Raw genomic sequence first — 24727 nt, forward strand, 5'->3', positions numbered from 1 at the left:
GGCATTTTGGGTTTTCAGACTGGGGACGCCCAACCTGTGTAACAATGATTTACAAGGTATTTATGTTGTATTAGGTATTATAAGTAATCTAGAGATGATTTAAAGTATACAGGAGGCTGTGCATCAGTTATATGTAAACACTACATGATTTTATGTAAGGGACTTGAACATTCACAGATTTTGATATCTCAGAAGTCCTGGAACTGATCCCCACCCCACCCCACCAGATAGCGAGGCGACAACTGTGTGTATGTATATGTGCATGTATGTGTAAAATTTCATTGATTCCATACCACAACCATGAGGTTTAGGTACCATTATTATCCCCATTTGAGAGATGAGCAAACCAAGGCCCACTGTCACACAGCTAGCACTGGTAGAGCTAGGATGGTACCCTGCAGTTTGACTTTAGAATTTTGCTACCTACCATTACATCACTCTGTCTCTTTTTGGTTTGTAAGTGGAACGTGTATTTGTTTTCAAAGAGAGGGGTAAGAGTGAGGAACGTTAGTAAGATAATAGCAGGGACTTGCATTTCAGGGAAATGGTTTGACATCAGAGCTGCTGGGGATTTCCTCCTTTGCCATGGTTCCTGCCGCTGCCGCCATGCCAAGACATACCTGGAAAGGAACCAGCTTTGGAATTTGAAACCCACACCTCAGAAATGACACACCTTGGCTTTTTGTAGTGTCCTTAATGTTAATTGCATCACAGGATCACTGCAGTGGTCATCTGAGGCCCGGGGGAAGGCATTGTTCTTTCCCCGTTTCGTGGGTGAGGAAATGAGGCACAAAGGAGCTGGACAAATTGCCCAGCCTCTTTGATGCCGAGTGGCTCTCCATCCTGTGCATGTTTGTTGTGTTGATTCCAGCAGGATCACCCCTAGTGATCTACACCAGAGCGTAAAGGCTGCATGTATCTATGGAAAGGCAGATGATGAGGATTGGAACTGTAGTCACTGGCCCAGCGTATGCAGCTGGCACCCTCCCTCTGGTTCCTCCTGCCACAGGCTGTCAGCCTTTTTCCATCCTGTGTGTCTGTCACAAGGGAGGCGACAACAGAAATGCAGAGCCATGTGCACACAGCTGCCCTCTGTCTGCCTATGGCCGGCCCCACTGACGAGTTCTGAGCTGGCCTGTGATCTTCTGGAACATGGTGCCATCTACTGAAGCCATGTCTCAGTCTCATTTAAAGGAATGACATAGGATGATTTATTTGTGTATATTTTTAAAGTTTCCTTTCAACAAAGGGATTTAAAGGGATGACATAGGATGATTTATTTGTATATATTTTAAAAGTTTGCATTTAGCCAGCAAATGTAAAGATAGAAGTCATTCACAGAAAACAAATAACTGCATGATTTGACTTATATGTGGAATCTAACAAAGTTGAAGTCATAGAAACAGAGAGTAGAACGGTGGTTGCCGGGACTCAGGATGGGGAAATCGTGGTCAAAAGGTACAAACTTTCAGTTACAAGGTGAACAAAATCCTGGGGCTTCCATGCAAAATGTGGGTGGTGATGGATGTGTTCATTAATTCGATTGTGATCGTCACTACACAGTGTGTACATGTATCAAATCATCACGTCATACGCCTGAAATGTATGTAATTTTATGTGTCAGTTAAATATTTAAGGAAAAATAGAAGTCACTTTTTCTGGCTAGGGAAGGAAGGAGAACCAACAAGTTCTGCCACTGGCCTAGTTTGGAAACCGAGGATCCTGCATTTTAAAGACGTCATGTATGTAGTTCTGTAAATAGCATCTGTACAAGCTCAGCACTGAATACGAGCTTTCTCAGAGGCTGATGCTGTCATTTAATATGTTCATCCCTATACAGGACACATTCCTTTCCAAAGCCAGGAGCTGAAGGTTCGGAATAATAGGCTGAGTTAAGTCTTAACCCTGCCTGGCTTGCTGGCTGCTGGAAGCACACACCAGGCTTGGAGCAGTCTCGAGCAGAGGGAGACGCTGGTTTTGTGCCCTCAGACCCCCACAGCTGCCTGCCAGGGCTCCTGGCCTCACATTCCTGCGGGTCTGGGTGATTCCTGTCCACTCCCCGTGCTGTGGAAATCTTTGGCTGCTGCTGTTGTCCGCCTTCCTGGACACTACTTACCCACATGGCTCATCCTCTCGGCCACAGGAATTCTTACCAGAGGCTAAGGGTTTGCCCCAGTCCGTGAAAATGACTAGTCCGTCCTGAACACACATCTGCGATCTCTTAGCACACTGTGGCTGGGCCATCTTCACCTTCCCTCTTCCTGGTGGGATGTTGAACCATGCCACATTCACTTTGCTGCTTCTTTAGCAATTGTGATTTTTAAAGACAAAATAGACTGTCCTGGTGGTGTGCCAGTGAATGTAATGTAACAGTGGCAGCAGCAGAAATCCTTTGCTGCCTTTGGGTCTGGGGCAGCAGCTGCGTTGGTGGGCAGAGGAGGGTGCAGTTGGCAGCCTGTCCAAGTCCAGCACGGTTGGAGCACAGGATTTAGAATGGGATGGTCCTGGGTTCAAACCCCAGCTGCGCCCTAGCTTGCACTGATCCGCTCCTCAGCCTTTGTGGGCCTCAGTTGCCTCCCACACATGAGTGTTGTGATGCCATAAAGTGCTCGGCGTAGTGTCTGACGTAGTGACAGATGCTCCGTTGGAGGAGTCTCCCGTGTCCACACTGGCTGCAGTAGGAATGTGGGCGGAGAACTTTGTTTTCTGGGTTTGCTGTCACATATTTTAAGAAGTCCCTTTTCTGACCACAGTGTTTTAGACATTGTTTCCTATGTCCTCAAGCTTCCCCTGCCTCCCTAGCCCTCCACACACCTGTCCTCCCCGACAGCCCATCAGGAGGTTTGGTGGATGCTGAGGAAATGAGCAACTTAAGGTTTTGCTGTGCTTTGCCTGATGTGGTTGTGAGCTCACGAAGCCAGAGCTGCTGTTGATGAGATTTTTTTTTTTAAAAAGCCAGGGAATTCGGAAGTGGGTTAGGGCTGATTCTATCCCAGGGCCTCGGCTAGGTCTTTTGGGAACTGATGGTGGGAGCGAGGTAGCTCAGGGGACTGTCTCAGGAGTGCCGGGGAGGAGAGGTCCCCTGGTATGGGCATGGTCAGCAGAAGATCCGAGGGAGTCTGGGGGCTTACCTCGTTATCAGGTGAAACCTTGAAAAACTTGCGCTGGATAAGGAGGGAAAGTTGATTTTTGTGGAGTCATGGAGTGGCATCAAAATCTGATCACTTTTTTGTAACCCAGGGGAAGGAAGTGGCCTCATGTCTTCACAACCTTCCCTGTGAATTTCAACGTGGGGTGATCCTCTTAGGGGAGTCCTAGGACGTCTTGTGGGGAAAGAGCACGTGCTGAGGGCAGAGGATGCGGAGGCCTCTGGAGCTGGGGAAGAATGGTGGTGTCCTAGAATGCAAAGTTTTGCATTGTGGTTGGGCTGAGGCTGGAGAAAGCTCAGCAGACACTGAGGTGGTGATTCCCAGGCAGATGGAGCTTTGGATTCTGGAGACTTGGCCTTCTCCATGTTAATTGTGAGGTTGGAGAAGCGACATGCACTTACTTAGCAGGGGCTGGCTGCCTTCTCCTGGGCCTGTTGGGCTGCAGCCTGGTGTACACCTTAGAATCTAACCCGCCATGGAAGGTGGGGGGCATCAGAGCTCTTACAGAAGATAAGGAGAAGCTGAGGAATTAGATTTTAAATGGCACCGGGAGCATCCGCACCTTCGAATGACAGTGAGGGTAACAGAGAGGGAGCTCTTGCCTTTTCCTGTCTTCTGCGTTGGACTCTTTTCAGTGCTAATACACTTGGTATAACTAGCTCCAAAAAGAACAAAGAAGGGATGCCAGGGAGAAGGCTTCACAGAATTCCTAGTTATCTTCAAAAAGTAAATAAAAAAAGCAGGGTGCTGTTTTAGGCCCTGACCCACGGGTAGCCTCATCCTGGGTGGGTGCCAGATGAAGAAGTTTAAATGGGTGGTGTCGGAGTGCAGATGAGGAGAGATGGGCCGTGTGGAGGGGACCTGGGGTGTCGGTGTTGGGGGGCTGGCCTGTGGTGTGTGTGGGGGGTGGGTGTGTGGTGTGTGTATGGGGAGGGCACGTGGCATGTAGGGAGGGCGTGTGGCGTGTAGGGAGGGCGTGTGGTGTGTGTGGGGTATGTAGTGTGTGGGGGTGGGTGTGGTGTTTTGGGGGAGCATGGGTGTGGAGGGGAGTGGGGCATTGGTGTGGGAAGTGTGGAGGTGTGTCGTGTGGAGGTGACTGGGATGGAAAGGTGCACAGAGCTGTTCCCCCTCTGGTTGAGAGAAGAGCAGAGGGAAAGTGGAAATTGGGCTCTCTGGACAAACCTCTTGAAGGCTGTAGACCTTGGACAGCTCTTAGAACCACCGGGATAGTGAATGTTCTAGAATGGGAAAGACGTGGTGGGTAGTGAAGTGAGAATCCCAATTGTAAACTGCCAGCAGGGAGACTTCTACATACAGAGCTAATGCAGACCGGAGAGTGGGGCCTCGTGTCTGTTGTTTCCAGACCCTTCTGGCAAGTGAGGACCCTCACCATGGGGCAGAAGACCAGGTGCCTCCAGCCAGAGCAGGCAGAACTCCCCCATCCCCTCAGCTGACTTAAGTCCCACCGCAGCCACCCTCTGCCAGTGCGGTGGTTTCCATGTGACAGATGGGGGCCCGGGGTCAGGGGAAGCGTGGAACTTAAGTGCCAAAGTCAACAAATGGTGGAGCCGGTATGGAGTCCAAGTGCATCTGGCTCCAAAACTGGTGCCTTTCCCCAGGGCGCGGGCCCCAGCAGCTGTGCTCCCTGAGGGGGCGCCCTGCCTTTCCCGAGGCAGGCACGGAGAGTGCGTGTGGCCTTCCCTGGGGCTTCACTCTCGTGTCATTGCGCAGGCAAGCTCGAGGATCTCTTGCTGTCAGCCTCTCTGCTCCTCATCTCATGCCCTCACCTCTCCCTCCCTCACTCCCCACTGACCATTCTCTGAAGTTTGTTTTTATCTATAATTAAAAAAGCATTCATTCAGAGAGCCACTGACTTTCTATTTGCCCAATTCCATGGCCTCTTTTCAGACTTGACCCTGTATCAGTGTTTTCTTACCTGTTTTCACCTCACAGCTCAAATAGACACTGAAAACGCAGTTGCTGGAAGCTGGAGGTGACCAGCCTGGGGGCTCTGGCTTCCCAGAGGGCAGAGGACCAATCTCTCTGCCACTCACACATTGCCAGTTAGGGAGCCCTGTCCCCTGCTCACTCAGCAGCGTGTGGCTGTCACTGGTCCTGGAGCCTGTCCTACAGCAGCCACGAGCTCCCCTTTCCTCCACACTTTGGGATTATATCTGTCTTGTGTAGTCTTTGGGGATTTTCCTAACCTACTATCATCATGAGAGCAGATAATGTGACATCTCCAACCCAGCTCCAAGAAGGAGACTTAAGTTGAGATTTCTGTTCTAGGGCCTGGAAATGCGTGGCACATGGAAGGAGCTCAGTAACGCATGCATGCATGCATCCATCCATCCATCCATCCATCCAACCATCCATCCATCCATCTATCTATTTATTTATTGCTCTGTTGCCAGGCTGGAGTGCAGTGGCTCAATCTCGGCTCACTGAGTAATGCGTTTTTAAATGAATGTTGAGTGAATTTAAGTTACTGTCCCGTTCCCCAGCACACAGAAATGCACAGTCCCATCCACGTGACTCTTCTGTCATTGCACTAACAACCTATATTCTGTAATGGAAATTCTCATGAGAGATTGGGAACCAAGGTGAAAAATGCAATTTTGTCACCTCTGTATAAATTTTTATCTTTTGAGGTCTTATCTGGTGATATTTTTCCTTGGTGTCATGATAAGCAACACCCAACCATTAGCAGTGCTGTGCCATGTCAACATCCTTCAGACGCATGGTAGCACAACCGTAACAATACCTCAGTCACGAAAATTAAAACATTGAGATAAGAGGAAATGCTGAGGGTGGTGGCCCACACCTGTTATTATCTCAGCACTCTGGGAGGCCAAGACAGGAAGATCGCCTGAGCTCAGGAGTTCGAGACCAGCCTGGGCAAGGTAGCAAGACCTCGCCTCTACTCCAGATAAAAATATTAGCTGGGTGTGATGGTGTGCATCTGTAGTTACAGCTACTCGGGAGGCTGAGGCAGGAGGATCGCTTGAACTTGGGAGATTGAGGCTACAGTGAGCTGTGATTGTGCCACTGCACTCCAGCCTGGGAAACAGAGCAAGACCTGTCTCAAAAATAAATAAAAAATAAAAGTAAAAAGAATGCTTAGTGTTACTGGTCAGTGAATTGATAGTTACAAAGACACTATCCAAAAAATCAAAGGTGGAAGAATACATGCCTGAGCATGAGTTGCCAGCGCTCCCCTTCTTCAAGTTGGGGAACTTCACAAGCTGGTCACAGACAGCTCACCCCAGTTCCTCTTTTTAATTCTTCCATCCTCTTCTAACTCCTACCACCCCTGGGCTTCTCTGGCTCTGTTCTCTCTGATTCACCACCTCCTCTTTCTGTGCCCGCCTTTCTGCCTTCCCGAGTGACTTTTGCTGAGTCCTTTATTAACCCTACACATGCTGGCTTCTCTGTGAGTTCAAACCTTGGGCCCTGCCTCCCTCAGCCCCACCTTTCCCTCCATATATTTAAACAAGATTATACTGTGGTAAAATATACAGAATATAAAATTTGCCATCTTAACCATTTAAAAGTGTACAGCTTAGTCGTGTTAAGCACATTTACATTGTTGTGCAATCGATATCTGGAACTCTTTTCATCTTGCAGAACTGAAACTCTGACCCATTAAACAACTCTCCATTCCCCCTCCTGCCGGCCTCTAGAAACCCCTGTTCTACTTTCTGTCTCTATGACTTTGACCATTCTAGATACCTCGTATCTAGAATAATATAATATTTATCCTGTGACTGGCTTATTTCACTCAGTGTAATGTCCTTGGTTTATCCATGTTGTAATGTGTTAGAATTCCCTTCCTTTTTGAGGCTGAATAATATCCCATATATATGGGACATACACACACATACATACATACACATACATATACATACCACATTTTGTTTATCCATTCATCAGTGGACATCTGTGTTGCTTTCATCTTTGGGCTACTGTGAATAATGCTGCTATAAACATGTGTATACAAGTATCTCTGAGACCCTGCTTTCAATTTCTTTGGATATGTACTCAGAAGTGGAATCCAGCAGGATCATATAGTAGTTCTATTTTAAAATTTTTGAGGAATCTCCATACTGTTTTCCATAGCAGCTATACTGTTTTACAATCCACCAACAATGTACAAGGGTTCTAGTTTCCCTATGTTCTTACCAACGCTTATCTATTTTTTTGAGACAGAGTCTTTCTCTGTCGCCCAGGCTAGAGTGCAGTGGCGTGATCTTGGCTCACTGCAATCTCCGCCTCCCGGAGACCAGCCAGGCTGGTCTCGAACTCCTGACCTCAGGTGATCCACTTGCCTTGGCCTCCTGAAGTGCTGGGATTACAGGTGTGAGCCGCTGCACCTGGCCTATTTTCTGTTTTTGTTATTTTTTTTAATAGTAGCCATCCTGATGAGTGTGAGGTGCTATCTCACTGTGGCTTTGATTAGCATTTCACTAGTGATTATGATGTTGAGCATCTTTTCATGTCCTTGTTGACTGTTTATCTTCTTTATTTTTATTTTTTTGAGATGGAGTCTCGCTCTGTCGCCAGGCTGGAGTGCAGTGGCGTGATCTCGGCTCACTGCAACCTCCACCTCCCTGGATCAAGCAATTCTCCTGCCTCAGCCTCCTAAGTAGTTGAGACTACAGGAGCACACCACCATGCCCAGCTAATTTTATTGTATTTTCAGTACAGACAGGGTTTCACCGTGTTGGCCAGGGTGGTCTCGATCTCTTGACCTTGTGATCTGCCCGCCTCAGGCTCCCAAAGTGCTGGGATTACAGGCGTGAGCCACTGCGCCCAGCTGACTGTTTATCTTCTTTGGAGATACGTTTAAGTCCTTTGCTCATTTTTAAATTTGGTTGTGTATTCTTTTCCATAAGCCTTTATAAAAGAGCTGTGTTTGGTTTTCTTGTTATCTCACCCCGCTTTGTGGAGGGAGGCATCACTCTTCCCCTGGCTGCAACTCCCTCCTTTCTGTGATCTGTGGACCTGTCCTTCATTCTGAGCCTTTGGTGGCATTAGTGCCACCCTAGTCATCCAGACTAGAAACTTCAGGCTTCTCTCGGACTCCCTGTATTTTATTTCTCATGGGCAGCCAGTTGCCAAATCTGTCAGTTCTGTCTCCACCAGGTTGGTTTACTCCATCCTCTCCCTTCTGGTGTTAGAGCCACAACCCCAGTTCCAGGATGCCCAGTGCAATCTCATGCTAATATGTAGTTTGGAGATGATTCATCTCTGGTGTCTAATGAAATCTCAGGGTGGAGTAGCATTGGCAAAGGGTGGCATAATGTTTGGGAGAACATATAATAATATAGTTTGTATTTGGAAGATGAAAACCTGTTTTATAACACATGGAATAAAGCTTGAGGAGCTGTGCAAGGGATAGATTATCTTTTGTGAACAGCAAATTATAATATTGATACTGATATGAGCTAACAAATGTTTATTGAGCACTTACTATATGCCAGGCACAAGTGTGTCACAGGTGTGCAATGACTCTCTGGAACCAGTGTTGCAGGGGTAAGAAGAATTTACCAAGACAATTATAGGTAAAGAAAAACAGATTTATTAGAAAAAGTAGGAAAATACATTGCAAGAGTGCAACAGGCAGATCAGCAGGAAGGGAGCTGACTGCCCAGAAACAAAGGCTTGCTGGGGATTTCATAGAATGGTGCTCGTGCTGTGTACTGAAGAGGGCTTCATGCAGTGCTGATAACTCCAAGGTCGCAGTGAGCAAACTTGCATTTTTCTATTAACTGAGGGTCTGGTGATAGCTGGGTGCAGGAAGATTGTGTTATTAATATTTGTGCAGGAAGGCTATGTGTCCTGGACCATGAAGAAAAGCAGAAGTATAGCTTAATCTGCCTTCTCTTTTTGCTTTCCCTTGGTCCTGTCAGCCCAACTCCCCCTTCCTAATTAGGACGCTGTAAAGCACTTAACACATATTAGCCTGTCTGGCCTCATGACAGCCTAGTGAGGCGGAGGATATTATTAGCCAGACAGAGAAGCTGAGGCCAGGTCCCAGGCCACACACCTGGTAAGTGGCAGGTGGGGTGTGCAAGCTAAGCTCTGGAAGTTTGGTTCTAGAGCTGTCCACTGCAGCTGGAGGAAGTGTGGGGCTTTTTCTATTCTCCAAGAGTGGGCATGAGTTAACTGGGCCTCAGGAAAGCAGGACTTTGGGACGAGCCTCAGGTTCCTCATCCCCTGCCACCCTCTGCCAGTCTTGCGAGCTGCAGTTCCCTCTCCGTGCCGCTGTGGGCCCTGTGGCCTGTGCACAATTCCTGCGGTGGGTCCTGGTGTCTTCTCTCCTCTGTCCCTTGTGTGTACCGCCACTCTGGAGTGCCTTCCAAGTGGTCAAACATCTCACATCTGTCATCTTTAAAGAGCCGCCTCAGTGCTGTTTCCTCCATGAGGCCCGATCTTCCCAGGTTGGCCGCCCCCTCCATCCTCCTCAGCGTGCTTATCACGGGGGCTGCAGGGGAAGCGACAACACTTACGATATCTTGCCTCAGTGTCTAGGCATGTTCCTGTTTCTTCCCAACTAGACTGTAGGTTACGGGAGACAAGATTTGTCTGTTGAGACCCAAGCACTTTTGTATTCCTCAGTGCCAAGCACAGAATGTGTTGTGAAACTGAGAAGCCAAATATTTCCCAGACCGAGGCTCAGGCAGTCCTAAAACCCACAGCCGTGGTTTAGACCCTGATTTTTCTGGGTCAGTCAGAGTTCCCATCTCCAGAACACACCTGGGAATCTTTAAACCTGGGAATCTTTCCTCTGTGAACAGTCCTGATTCAGAGACCCTGGCTGCCCTCCTCTCCACGTGTCCTGGTGAGGTTCTCTTTCCAGGGCTTTCCATTTTCTCCTCACAGCAGAAGTTTCGTTAAGCAAACAGGAAGTTGCTCATAGGCACCCTCACCCCAATGCAAGTGTGAGCAGTGGCCAGGAGACGGGTAAGGGAACTGGCCTGTGCCTGTGGGGAGGTGAGGCCAGCCAGAGACACTGGCTCGCTGGGCATCTTTCCATTGAGGCTGATTCCTGGAGTGACTCTGGAGAGGCAAGACTGGGATACTCTGGTTTTTATTTCAGTTTTTCCTGAGGTAACCAATAGTAATGGGTGGTCTTGGGAGGAGGCAAAAGAGACTTAAATCATGGCATCAGAAGAAAAAGTCAGTCTCTGACCTGGTATGGTGGCTCAAACCTGTAATTCCAGTGCTTTGGGGGACCGAGGTGGGAGGATCACTGGAGGCCAGGAGTTCGAGACCAGCCTGGACAACATAGCGCCACCACATCCTACTTATTGTAGAGATGGGGGTCTTACTATGTTGCCCAGGCTGGTCTCAAATTCCTGACCTCCAGTGATCTTCTGCCTTGGCCTCCCAAAGTGCTGGGAGGCATGAACCACTGCACTCAGCCCAGTATTTTTTTTTTCCCTCTTCCAGAAGCTTATGTGCTTTGAAGAAGGCCTCTTTCCCCATCTTAACAGAAAAATTCCTTGCTTTTAAATTTCCAGAGTGTCTAGTTATCTCTCTCTCCAGCTCATCCTGGTTTCACCCATGTCTAGTTCCCGTGTCAGGCACATTCAAATTCACTTGCCTTGGCCATGTCTCTTCCCTGACTCCTGTGTTCTACAACCATCTCCACGTGGTCTGTGGAGAAGATGGCTGAGTACCCTGAAGGTGTCCAGCTCCCTCAGGCCTGTCTTTCTCATTGGCATCATTCTGGGTCAGCTCCTTGTCCACGAGGCTTGGGTATAAACCTCCTCGATTGGTGGAAGTGGACTCCCAGGGGTGAGCCATGGCTTGGAGACAGTTTGGTTCATGGGCCCCAGCACACCAAACATAAAAGGCCTCACTTGTGGTTGGGATACATTTGGCAGGTCGGGGGTTTGACCTGGCTTTGGGCCTGTCGGCTCCCTGGCCGCCATCAGGGCTCAGTGAAGTGCTTGAGTTAGGAGAGAGAAGCCAGCTTTGGGAAGCGCTGCAGCCACAAAGCCCAAACTCCAGCTGCACAGGATGGTGAAATTCACCAAAGCAAAGTGAAAGTTGTGAAACTTCAAGTGACATAGTTCCCTTTTGAGAAAGTCTTCTAAACCTCTTTAAGAAAAACTTGAAATAGCCTGCTGTATATTTCTTCTTTGAATTTCAAATTTTTTTGACATGCATAAGTAACTTTCCTCCTGTTTTCTCAGACTTCTCTAACTCTCCATTTAAAAGTATCTGCTATTGGGAAAAGCATAAACAAGCCTCCAGTTTATTTATGATGTGGGGTTCAGAGGAGGCAGCTGGCCAGTAGTTGTCTTATTGCAATTCTCTGATTAATGAGGAAAGGCATCATCAAATGTCACAGCAATGGAATAGTTCATGTGATCTGGGAGAACCTACCTCTTCTCTAGTTCCAATATGGGACACAGGAGAATAGCAGGGCAATACAAATGCTGTATATTTGCAAAGTCTGCACACACTTTCAAGTGTGGATGAGTAAATCCTAAAAGGAACCAAAGACATATGAGTCTGAATTGCAATGTTTCTTCTTCCTGTGTGTAAATGGGGGTGTTTCCCCCACGAGTCTCTGTTGTGTTTGGATGGGTTTGAAGATCTGGGTTAGGAGAGCCCCTTTTCAGAGCTCCTCCTTAGACCTGAAAACCCAAGGTTTTGCTTTCAAATAAATGCCTCCAGAGGAGGGAGCGTGTTGATAGCATTTTAATGTAGGGCTTTGGCCTTTGACAAATGTGTGCTCAGAGGAGCTCAAGGCAAGAGATGCCAGTTTTGTGTGCAGGGCACCCATGTGTGCCTCCCTTTTCCAGGTACCGGCGGACGTCGAGAAATGTCAGGATCGGATGGAGTGTTTCAATGCTGACCTGAAAGCTGACATGGAGAGGTGGCAGAACAACAAGAGGCAGGACTTCCGGCAGCTACTCATGGGGATGGCTGACAAGAACATCCAGTATTATGAGAAGGTAATGAGTGTGCCCAACAAGACTGGTTTCTAATGGCCAGAGCCTTTCACATGGGCCTACCAGAAATCCACAAGCTGGGAATCCTGCTAGTCTCATCTCCTTCCCTTATTTTAGCTGCTTAGTCTTGGCTCCCGCTTCATGCCCTTGCCCAACCATGTGGCTGCAGTGCTGGGTTTGGCAGCAGAGGGGGTGCTCACAGGGGTTTCCCTTGCACATGCTGCTGGGGAAGCAGCCCATTCGTCTTCCATGCTTTCTGGGCCTGGCACTGGTTGCTTCCCAGAGCCAGTCAGACCTTCAGCACAGTGATGCTGCCACCGAATGGAGGCTTTGGGGTTACTTTACTCTGTGTTGGGGTTCTGTACACAGGGTCCCTTCAGTTTGGTTGTGCAGTGAACCCCTTTGGTCATCTGGTGAAGCCTATAGACCCCTCACCAAAATACTGTGCATTTGTTTTTTAAATAGACTTCAAAATATTGATTTTAAATACGTAAAATAAAGGGATGTAGGATTACAAAGGAAAGCAATTCTATTAAAAACTTTTACTCATGGATCCCCTTGACCAGGTTAAGCAGCGCACGCACATGCGCGTGCACACACACACACACCCACACACCCCACTACCACCACCACACCCCACACACACACTACACACACACCACACCCCCCCACACTACACACACACCACACATACACCACACACCCCCCATACTACATGCACACCACACACCCCCTACACATACACCCCACATACACACCCCACACACAACCCCCCCACACACGACACCCACACACCACACCCACATACCTCACACAACCCTCACACACAACCCCCACACACACCATACACACACCACACACACATAGAGATGACTCTTATCAGGCTACAGCCCAGTCCCCTCAATCAAGGTTTGCTTGATTCGTATGTCCAGCAAACCAGTGCGAGGCCAGGTGCAGTGGCTCACGCCCGTAATCCCAGCACTTGAAGAGTCCGAGGTGGGAGGATCACTTGAGCCCAGCTCAAGACCAGCCTAGGCAATGTAGTGGGACTGTCGTTACAAAAGATACAAAATGAGCCAGGTGTGGTGGCGTGTGCCTATAGTTCCAGCTACTCGGGAGGCTGTGGCAGGAGGATGGCTTGAGCCAGGAGTTCAAGGCTACAGTGAGTCATGATTGTGCACTACTGTACTCCAACCTGGGTAACAGAGTTTTTTGATCCTGTCACGCCATATATATATATATATATATATATATATATATATATATGTATGTATGTATGCACACACACACACACGTATACACACATATATATACACACATATACATACATACATACACACATGAGTGAGTGTGTGTGTGTGTGTATGTATGTATGTATGTATATATATATATATATTGCGATAGGGTCAAAAACTCTGTTACCCAGGTTGGAGTGCAGTAGTGCAGTCTGTTACCCAGAGTTCCTTTCTTCTGTAACTCCCACACCTTCCCTCTGCTGTTCAGCGGCCTTCCTACTACTACAAAACCAACTATGTCAAATGTCTCTGTTGCTCCCTTTGGTAATTAATCCCAGCGTTCCTAAAGTCCTGGTCCCAGGAGGACCCAACCCTGGTCTTAAGTACGTGTTTATCTGTCTTCCCACTATATCACAGGCAGGGCCACTGTCTTGGGGCCTGGTATTGCTTCTATACATATTTAACAAATGCTTTTTGTGCACTTGCTGTGTGCAAGGGGCAGTGTGTACCAAATTGATAAACAGCAGGATTCCTGCCCTGTGGAGGGTATGTGTTCATCAAAGGAGCCCACAGCTTCAGAGTGAGATAAGGAAAAGAACGGGAAACTGGGGGAGAAAATACTAGGGGGCATAATGCAGACTAAGGGTGGGAGGGGCAAGTGGAGTGGTCAGGAAAGGCCAGTCTGAGGAAATGACATTTCATCCGAGTCTCAGAGACAGAGGCTTGGAAAACATATATTCCAGGTATAGGAGACAACATACGCAAAGTCCCTGGGGCAGGAAAGAGTTTGGTACATTTGAGGACCAAATAGAAAACTGGTATGGCCTTGGTTTATCATGGCTGACATACAAAGTCCATTGCAGATCTGAAGTGATGGCCTAGGGAGAGAGCAGGACCTGGAATGCCACAGACCCCAGATCATCTTCCGTATATAAGGTGGGCTTCAGAGTTTAGCTTCCTCTCTAACCTCAGAGTCACCAAGGAGGAATCAGGAAGCAATTTCACCACTCTTCTTTCTGGCTTGACCTAGGATGCCTCTCTCCTCCTCCCTCCTCAGAACTTCTCCCACCTCCTGGGAATTCCTCCCACCTCCTCAGAACTCCTCCCACATCCTCAGAACTCCTCCTGCCTCCTCAGAACTCCTCCTACCTCCTCAGAATTCCTCCCCCTCCTCAGAACTCCCCCCATTAGAATTCCTCCCACCTCCTCAGAACTCCTCCCACCTCCTCAGAACTCCTCCCACCTCCTCAGAACTCCTCCTCCCTCCTCAGAATTCCTCCTGCCTCCTCAGAACTCCTCCCACCTCCTCAGAATTCCTCCTCCCTCCTCAGAACTCCTCCTCCTTCCTCAGAATTCCTTCTCCCTCCTCAGAACTCCTCCCCCCTCCTCAGAATTCCTCCCACCTCCTCAGAATTCTTTCTCCCTCCTCAGAACTATTCCCACCTCCTCAGAATTCCTTCTCCCTCCTCAGAACTCCTCCCACCTCCTCAGAACTCCCCACCCCCTCGGAACTCCTCCTACCTCAGGATTCCTTCTCAGGATTCCTCCTCCCTCCTCACAACTCCTGCCTCCTCAGGATTCCTCCTCCCTCCTCAGAACTCCTGCCTCCTCAGGATTTTTCCTCCCTCCTCAGAACTCCTGCCTCCTCAGGATTCCTCCTCCCTCCTCAGAACTCCTCCCACCTCCTCAGAATTCCTCCTCCCTCCTCAGAACTCTTCCCACCTCCTCAGAATTCCTCCTCCCTCCTCAGAACTCTTCCCACCTCCTCAGAATTCCTCCTCCCTCCTCAGAACTCCTCCTCCTTCCTCAGAACTCCTCCTCCATCCTCAGAACTCCTCCCACCTCAGTATTCCTCCTCCCTCCTCAGAACTCCTCCTCCTTCCTCAGAACTCCTCCCACCTCCTCAGAATTCCTCCTTCCTCCTCAGAACTCCTTTCACTTCCTCAGAATTCCTCCTGGCTCCTCAGGATTCCTCTTCAGAGCTCCTCCCACCTCCTCAGAACTCCTCCCGCCTCCTCAGAACTCCTTTCACCTTCTCACAATTTCTCCCACCTCTTCAGAACTCCCGCTCCTCACACCTCTCCCACCCCCTCAGAACTCCTCCCCACCTCTTCAGAACCTCTCCCCACCTCCCCCAAACCCCTCCTGCCTTCTCAGAACCCCTCTCCACTTCCCCAAAACTCCTCCCACCTCCTCAGAACTCCTCCCTAAATGACTCAGTACAAAGTCCTCCTCCACCCCTGGGGCTGCTACTGAGAAGCCTTATGTGATTAACTTGCCCTCTTTATGCAAGAGACTTTCCAAAGGGCGAATCATTTCTGCTCTCAGAGGACAATGCCAGAGTGTTCTGAGTTCTTGGCCTTTCACAAGGATCTGGGATGAAAAGAGGTTGGTGTAGTGGAGAGAACATCAGCGTGGGAACCATGAGCTCTACCATGGACAAGCTGTGTGTCTGGGCCAGTTATTTAACCTGAGTCTTGTCTTCCCCATCCATGAAATCAGTGTGTATGTGTCGAGTAATAATTCTCCTTCATAGAGGAGCTGTGAGGACTGGTGATAACTAATGTAAAGTATGTCACCATGTTTGGACATAATAAAACTCAATAAACACTGGCTTCCCTCTTCCATATTCCCTTTTGAGAGATTCAGGTGTGGCCCAAACAAGCAAACTTGAGGTTGGTGAGGAAGAGTGGGCTTTCCACCCGCTCCAAGTCAGGTGCCTGGCCTGCTCCAACTATGATTTCCATCCTGCATAAGCGCCACCCACACCTGGAGCAGTGTCTCCATCCCTGCCGAGATTCTAGGGACTCTTCAGGGGTTTCCTGCTTGGGCTTTTTTCTGCTTTTTTGAAAGGAAAAGAACTTCCTCCAGTAAATCCATTTCCATTCACTGGATCTGAGCTTTACAGACTAACATGAATGCATTTAAGCCTTGCAGAGATATTGCTGTCTTTCATAAAGATGGGGTGACGCATTCAAAACAAACACCTGTTACCTCCCCGTTTGTAATAGTTATGGATGACACATGCAGGCATCATTAGACAAAGGTAACCCAGCAGGATCGACAACGAAAGGGTAGGTCAGAGCAGAATTGAAGCTGACCCGAAATCGGAAACTCAAAGCTGATACTGTGTGTGTATGTTGTCGTTCCAGTGCCTCATGGCGTGGGAGTCGATTATTCCACTACTGCAGGAGAAACAAGAGGCCAAGTAAAGTTCTTTCTTGGGACGGAGACTCTTCTACCTACACAGGGCCTGGCACCCTATACCGGAATGTCCCTGCAGTGCCAGAGACGCAGTGCTGGGAAAACAACCACAGAAACATCTCTCCTTTGTGTATTTTTCCCTCCCCCACCTTTCACCCCACAGTGGTTTTCAATTAGTATTTATTCCATGGTGGAGTCTGTGAGGCTAGAATATCTCTCAGCAAGAGCAGCATACCTCCATGTTGTGAAGGCATCTGTTCAGTGAAGCACTACGAAAATTTGAAACCAAGGGACAAGACAACCTGCAGCTGACGCTCTGACATTTCATGACAGTTTCCTCTTTAGGGACAGCTGAGTTGCCAGTTGTGGGAGAGAACCCGGGGCCTGCTTTTCAAGGATGAGGAGGAGGCAGGAACAGAAGGCAGCTGCTGCTTTCTGTGGAAACCTGGCCCCTCTGGAATTGGCCTCTGTGGGCATTGACTCGTCTTGGCCTAGGAGGCATTGGTGCCTCCCTGGCAAGTCCTTAACGTACAGTACCTGTAGCTGTGAGTGTGGCCTGCTGCCTGCTTGTGATGAGTGATACCGTCTTACTGTTTCTGTTTCACATAGGGACATTTAAATCAATGTCAATGTGCGTCCATGCTTGAGTGAGCAAGCCAGCGTCCTTGTCCTCCTGCAATGCCTTTGGGAAGCTCAGGGGAATGCTCCCCAAGCTTGTTTCTGACACTAGAATGCAACAGATTGGAAACTTTTTGTGTAAAATGAAAAAAACAAAGTGCTGGTTTTTTTTTTTTTTCTGTGAAGGTCTTCAGTGTTTTGCTTGTTCACTGTCATCAGAGCAGGGATTAGACCTGTTAGGGAATATCTATTGTCTTGAAGTCAGAGTAGCTCCCCATTGTTGAGATCAGTGGGCATATACCAAGCTCCACCCCCAGTGTCAGCTTTGTGCAATTTGCCTTTACCTCACCAAAAATACCTACTTTAATATTTCCTCCTGTGTCCTCTGAATGTCTGGGCGAGCTTTTGGTGAGAGGGCTGGTATGTCATGTTGTTATGATACAGTCGAAATTTGTCAATGCAGTGTGAATGTTCTACATAAAGTGCTTTAACCCTTAACATTTCCTGGTCAGGAAGGAAAATCAGTACCTGGACGGGCCTCGAAAATGACAAATGCAACAGCGAGCCCTTTGTGTCCAGCTAAGCTAAAGTCTCCTCAGTGTGCAGCCAGATTCCTGGGGACTGCTGAGTGTGGTTACAGGCTGCATTTCAGACAATGACCAGGTTTACTTTTCAGATCACAAAGCAAACAGTCACCAAGGATCTGTCTTCCAACTCTTTTTTTTTTCTGCTGAAATGAAGCTACATGTCATGTTTGTGTTCTTTCATCTGTGGCTCATCCCTGTAAAACTACGAATCTGAGCCTCAAATAAGCAGTAGTTTTTTTGTTGTTTATTTTTAATGAAACAGCTGTGTTAAGGCGCTGCTTCAGATGCAAGTTCACCTGGAAATACTGGTCAGCGGGCAGCACGTCAAGGTCACTTAAGCCCACTTTTAACTGCAGGTCATCCTCGCATCAGCCAAGGCTGTGGTGCTGTTGATGCCGCAGTTGGACAGCATAGGACGGCTTGGTTCTGTTTCATTGTGTTTGACAATGTTGCAGTTTAAATGATAATGTTTAAATCAATTGGTACTTGCCTGTAGTGTTAAACCCTATTTGTGCCATTCTCAAGTCCTTTGATGTGAATTTTCAGTTTGGTACAGTTAGAAATGACTCATTGATGCGGACAGGTAAGAACAACCCATGTACCCCCGAGTGATTGCATGCTTTATTCTACCTCTAAGCCATCGTGTTGACGTGGGTATGGACGCCTGGGTCTGACCTGACACTGTGCTGGGAGAATCAGGATGTGTGTCTAATGGCGAGCTGACAGCCCTCTGCTGATATTTGGCAGAAGGCACCAGACCAGCCCAGCAGCAAATGCTCATCTTTGGGAACATAGGAAGCTTTACCTTGGGGAAGGTATGCTTTACAAATGTCCAGTGTAATGAATGTTTGGAAAAAACTGGAGTTACAGGAAAATGAAATCTGACTATCTGCTAGTTGCCAAAACCCAGAAACATTCCTGTGTAATGGTTAGTTGGGAAAGAAGGCAGCACTTGAAAAAATTTACCAGGTTCCTCACTGGGAGATGTGGGAAGGGGCGTGGGACGCACGCGGTCACTCCCTCTCCTAGTGAGAGGCAGATGGCTGGCTCTGAAGGGAGGCAGGCACCGTGGGATTTGGGCTTGCTCTGCTTGGTCCCCATGTGATGCCCTGTGCTGTAAGATATCAGAAAGACCTGGAACAAGGCAAACTTTATGTCCTCCTGGCATGTTATTGATAACAGAGCCAGGAAGTCCAGTGTACATTACAGATTTTCTGGGAGAAATAGTCCTTCCAGAGAAAGGATTCCTTCCCAGCCTCCAGGCTGGTGTCTCATGAGGTGAGGAGGCTGGCCCAGAAGGAAGGGGACGTTAGGTGGTGAAGCAGGCTCCCCTGGGCCTCTGAGGGCCAGCAGTCCCAACCATTTGCCTCTTCGTTTTGACCAAGCACAAAAGAGATATTCCCTAGAAGTGTCACACGGAGGCTTCTGTGCCAAAGACTGCCTTGTAGAGGTCTCATCACCTCACACTTCTTGACTTCACAAAATTGTGGCCCTGAGATCAGTACTCCTCTCTTAAGTATTTATTATTATTATTATTTACTTTACCTCAAGCAGACAGACATAGGTTTTGAGGCTTGAATACATGGCAGTGGAATACAAGGCCCTCCCTAGCAGCCGCCCCAGGCCTGGAAAGTGGGAGATTTCATTCGCCCGGGTTAAAAATCCAGAGGAAGACAGAAGAGAGGAGTCCTAGGAACTGAGCAGATTTTAGAGACGCAAATGATGTTTAAGAGAGCCTTGTGATTTGTAGCAAGCATGGGCACTGCTTTTTCTTACTAATGTGGTAGATCTACACGAACATTCTAGGCTGTTCTGCTCAGAGCGAGGAACCACTGCTCCTCAATGGGGAGGGAACATACCACCCAGCCAGGCTTAGCATTGGGTTTTATCCTTTAATAAAAGTTTTATAATGAATCCTGTTCACCTTAAAGTGTGATTATGGAGATGATTGGCTCCATATTCCACCACGTCATTCCTTCAACTCACCAGACACCTTTCTTTAGTTGAAATAAACCAGCATGACCTGGAGATCATGGTGACTGTAAGCTAAGTCTGTTTTCATGCCAGATTTCAGCCCCACCCAGAGTGTGCTCTAGATGTTGTTGATTTGAATGGTTTTCCCAGTTCCCACTCCACATGGGGAAGTTGAATGAATGCACACCTGCTGCTCACTTCTTGTGAGGCTGCCTTTTGTGATCAAATAACAGGAAGTTCTGCTTTAGAGGAGGGCACGATGACCATGTGGCAGTCTGCAAGTGGAATTTTGGGATGGCAGCCCGAGGAACATCCAGAGTTACTGTGTGACTTGGTCCTGCCATCGTTAGCTTTGAAATCACAGGCATTGGGCTCTGTTTTGACACCATTCATTGGACTGCGGGACAGTCATTCTTTACGTTCTCTCTTGAGCTGGTGAGAGAGGAGGAAGAGGGAAGTCAAGAGCAACCTCCAAGGCCTATGTCAGCCTCTTCTCCTTGGGTCTTGGGGTGGGTTAGAACTGGGTTCCAGTCTGGCCAGATGGGTTGCTGGCTGCACTGAGGGTGATTCTTCTCAGAAGATGGGCTGCCTGTGGTCAGGACAGGGCATACCAGTCTGGACTCCACCTTCCCAGACACCTACTTTAAGGACCTGTGGAAACTGGGTGATCCAATTATAGGGCTGGGGCAACCCTGCTTTGGCCACCCTCATTTACAAACTTAGGTTGGGAGCTTGGGTTTCCTGTCTCACTTCCAAAAGCCTTCAAGATGGCAGCAGATGGACACACCCTCTCATTTCTTGTGTCTTGTCTGTCAGATGGCAGGAGGCCTGTATCAGTAAATTTGAGGAAAATGTTCTCTCCTGGGCCAGCCTCACAGCTTGCGTTGGGTGTGTTGGAATTGTTCTCTTCGGCCTTGTTCTGCCTTGTGATCTTTTCAATTCAGTGAATAAACCAGGAATCCATTTTTTCACCAACCCACCCTGTAGATTGTCAGCTTTTTGTTTGAGAGATGCCTGGTCTCACAGTTACATGTATCAGAGTGTGTGTAAGTTGTCTGTGTTAGAAAGGTTGGGGTGGGGGCTTTGTTGCAGGGGATTAGACTGTTCTTTCTTCATCATAATTTGAGATACATCCTGAGTATGACTGTCTAACCCTTTCTGTGTGGCAGAAAAATATGTTTTCCAGGTAGTTTTTACTACTACAGAGAGTCTGTAAATAAGTGCTTTAAAAAAATAACAAACCAATAAGATATTTGTCTCCTATATAAACATTCTGTGTATTTAGCACTTGAAAATCAACAAATCCAGAATTTAAAAAAATGCCACAGACTTTTCAAAGCCCAACTCTACTTTTTTGAGAATTTGTCCGTACCTACTAATATGCCTTATTCTTCTTCACCTAGTGTTTTAAAAGTCCTGGGTAGAAAGAGTTTTAGAAATGTAATCAGTTGTTCAGCTTCAATAATATAGAGATCTAACATAGTCAGTCCTCAGGCCCCCTAAAGAAACAAGCAAGAAAGTGAGGGCCATCACTAGGGTTGGCTTTGGGGAGGGGAAAACTAAGGACTGCTTTTGCCAAATGATATTTTTGATAATGTAAGGAAACACAGGGACCACAAAACCTTTTTTTTTTTTTTAAGTGTGAAAGATTAGTGCCTTTTGGCATACTTTTGATTTTAGAGGATATAGTATCGGCATTGACAAATCACGTAGAAACAAAGAATGCTATAGATGACAACAGTATTAAATGTTACTCCTGATTCTGCAGAACAGCTTTTGAAGATACTGGGGGGTATCTTCAAGCCTCAGAGCAGCTTGTTTCAGATAGAAATTCTCTATGGGTTGAAATGCCAAAAACAGAAAACATGATGTTGACTCATGTAATTTAGTCCATTTTAGCAGAGCCTTTAGTGTTAACACCAGTGGCGAGGAGCATTGCATATTCTCTGTCAGCAGCAGCACTCCCACACCAGGTGGTTCTGGGCTCTCTGTAGGCTGGTCCTAGTAGGTGACACCCAGCAACACCCCTGTTGGACAGGATTGATTGTTCGCAGTCTTAGACCAACACTTCAGTCAGAAATGTTACTGGGAGGAGGAAAGGAAAATCACTTTTTTTCCTCCATGTGGAAATGAGGAGAGAGGAAAGTGGATTGCAAACCAAAATGTGAGTCAGTGTGATGAAGCAGTGGCTCTGTCATCTCGGCCTTTATCCAATAACAAACCAGCATCTCTTAAAGGCGCTTTTGGCCTAGACACCCCTGAAGTTTGGATGAAGTCTGGTGGATTCCCTGTCTGTTGTATTTCTGTGTGCCTGTTCCCTTCATTGCTGTGAGTTGGGAGTGCATTGAGAGATGATGTCCATCTGATATATTCCTGTGAAATAAACTGCCAGCAAACTTTCTAACTTGTATTTTAACTGTTAAAGAAGAGATTAAAAACTTCGGCTTTGGACATGTCCACATTATGGACTGTCATCTTATTTTTAAAAGTCATTCTTTACGTTTAAAATTTTAAAATAAAAACCTTCTGAGGTATTGATGTAGTCCACCGTGTAAATGTTACCTTCTCTCCATGCTGCCATTATGCCAAAACAAAAGCTGTGATAAAAAAAGTGCTTGAGAGAGTGTGTTGATAAGAAAGTGATTTATTTACAGATGGAAGTCTTTGTTTCATGAAGCTACCAAACTTTAAAAAGAATGTCACCCTTTTTTTTGTTTGTTATGGAAACCAGAGATTGTAAAATGGAAAAAGAATCGTTTTTTTGTTGACTTTTTGATGCTGGCACGAGGTTTTTGTCCACTTTTTTCATATATCTGTGTATAAAAAAATTGTTGTTTACTATGGAATTAGTATTACATTTTGAGGTAAACAAAAGAATTTGTATTGCTTGATAAATATTAGCTTGTAAATTTAAAGTTTCTTTACTTCAATTAACTTAAAGGACCAATAAACCCATAAAAGATGCTTTCTTTATCTGGAGTCATGTCCTCATTTGTACCTTTTTGTAAGGCAGAAAAACATGTGTGCCTATTTTTCTGTTTTCTTATTTTCTCTTTACAAGTTTTCAGTTTGCCTGTAAGAATCAAGACATACAGAGCGACAGGAAAAAATATATATAATTGAACTATTTTTATTCTTCTTCACTTCTTTATAGGCCCAGTTTACCCTCAATTTACCCTCTTCTACATCTTCCACATCTGCACCAATCTGGGGAGATGAAGAAACTTCCTAGTGTAGTAGCCATCATGACTGGCAGGCAGGCCGACAGCCAGCTGAGGTATTTACTACATGAAAGATTTCCTGTGTTATCCCATAGCAAAGCACAACATTATATTCTGCATCAGGGCCAGTTAAGTTGACCTGATGATGGTAATGCATTGAACTTGAGTATATTTAAAATAGTGCTCAACTTGACTTACTTTAAGACTGCAGTCATACAAAATAAGGCAGCAAGCTGAATAAGACGTGGATCATGGATCAAATCTCAGCTTTTCCACTTACTAGCTATGTGGCTTTAGGCAAGTCACACTTGGCTGAATATTTAGTATTACGATCTTTGAGATGAAAACAAGACTTCCACATGGGGTTGTCGATAGGACTAGCAATATGGTATGCAAAGCACTTAAATGTCAGGCAGCTTCTCACTGTGATAGCCCCTTTCTAAAGACTTCCTAATTTAAATATTAAGGCTATTAGGATATTATCCTTAAGGATATGGCCAATTTAAATATTAAGGATAACAATCCTTCATGTATGCTTTGCCAGTTTTTTTGTTTAACAGGATATTCTTTTTTTTTTCTTTTGCTTTGTCACCCAGGCTGAAGTGCAGTGGCATGATCTCAGCTCACTGCAACCTCTGCCTTCCAGGCCCAAGCAGTCCCCCCGCCTCAGTCTCCCGAGTAGCTGGTGCTACAGGTACGTGCCACCATGCCCGGCTAATTTTTTTATTTTTCGCAGAGACGGGGTTTTGCCATGTTGCCCAGGCTGGTATTGAACTCCTGAGCTCAAGCAATTCGCTTGCCTTGGCCTCCCAAAGTGCTGGGATTACAGGCATAAGCCACTGTGCCTGGCCCTGTTTTCTTTTTAACAAGGTGATGGAAATAAAATACTGAAGGACGGTGTCAGATTGAAGGCCTGAAGAATGGGGAGGAATAAATTCCAAAAGCCATGGCAAGAAGTGATAAAGGGAGGTGAAAATAGCCGATTTAAGAGATTCTTGGGGGGAGGAGAATGGACCGGAGATGACTGGAAGATTGCCAGCCTGGGATTTGGAGGCGATGCCATTAGCTAAAATTAGGAGAGAAAGACAGAATATGGAGGCTGGGCGTGGTGGCTCATTCCTGTAATCCCAGCACTTTGGGAGGCCACAGCAGGAGATCACTTGAGCCCAAGAGTTAAAGACCAGCCTGAGCAACGTAGACCCCGTCTCTACAAAAATTAAAAATCAAAAAAGATGGAATGAGCTTAGGTGGTGGGGTGTGAGAAGGAGAACTTGGTTTCGCTTTAGGTTTGAGGAAATCCAGGTGGAGATGTTGACTTGGCTGTTGGAAATGAAGTTCTGGAGTCCATGGGGGTGGACTAGATTGCATGGGAAGAGAACCAAGGACAGGACCTTGGAGGCCTCAAGAATTAAGAATACAGGCAGGGTGCAATGGCTCATACCTGTAATCCCAGCACTTTGGGAGGTCGAGGCAGGTGGATCATTTGAAGCCAGGAGTTCGAGACCGGCCTAGCCAACATGGCGAAACCTGTCTCTATCAAAAATACAAAAATTAGCCAGACATGGTGGTGCGTGCTTGTATTCCCAGCTGCTCAGGTGGCTGAGGCAGGAGAATTGCTTGAACTCTGGAGGTGGAGGTTGCAGTGAGCTGCGATTGCACCACTGCACTACAGCCTGGGCAAAAGAGTAAGACTGTCAAAAAAAAAAAAAAAGGATGCAGGGAGACAAGGAGGACTCAGGGAAAATTCTTGAGAAAAAATCGGGCCCCATA

General features: G+C 47.1%; 1 protein-coding gene across 12 annotated transcripts in view, besides 2 other annotated features; it reads left to right on the forward strand.

Moving 5' to 3' along the window:
• SNX30 (sorting nexin family member 30) overlaps positions 1–24727 on the forward strand; it is a 136047-nt gene that overhangs the window by 102556 nt on the left and 8764 nt on the right. For 7 of the 12 annotated variants that reach the window (XR_007061307.1, XR_007061301.1, XR_007061302.1 and 4 more), the window contains 3 exons: positions 11969–12121; positions 22891–23013; positions 23554–23651. Coding sequence is in view for 3 of the 12 variants with exons in the window: in XM_047423393.1 (XP_047279349.1) it covers positions 11969–12121; positions 22891–22968 (231 nt within the window). In the remaining 9 variants the exon portion in view is untranslated. Of the gene's footprint in view, positions 1–11968; positions 12122–16505; positions 22710–22890; positions 23014–23553; positions 23652–24727 lie in introns of those variants that run through there. The other 5 variants (XR_007061304.1, XR_007061305.1, XM_047423393.1 and 2 more) reach the window with 2 other exon arrangements.
• Positions 14437–14938: an enhancer, noted in NCBI's record as "H3K27ac hESC enhancer chr9:115628995-115629496 (GRCh37/hg19 assembly coordinates)". NCBI's record gives its function as "activates a minimal SCP1, AML or CMV promoter by ChIP-STARR-seq in naive H9 embryonic stem cells {active_cell/tissue: H9 hESC(naive)}" and the evidence as "EXISTENCE:reporter gene assay evidence [ECO:0000049][PMID:30033119]".
• Positions 16999–17148: an enhancer, noted in NCBI's record as "active region_28831". NCBI's record gives its function as "activates an Ori minimal core promoter by ATAC-STARR-seq in GM12878 lymphoblastoid cells {active_cell/tissue: GM12878}" and the evidence as "EXISTENCE:reporter gene assay evidence [ECO:0000049][PMID:35858748]".

This window comes from Homo sapiens, chromosome 9 (assembly GCF_000001405.40).
Source record: "Homo sapiens chromosome 9, GRCh38.p14 Primary Assembly".
NCBI classification, from domain to species: domain Eukaryota; kingdom Metazoa; phylum Chordata; class Mammalia; order Primates; family Hominidae; genus Homo; species Homo sapiens.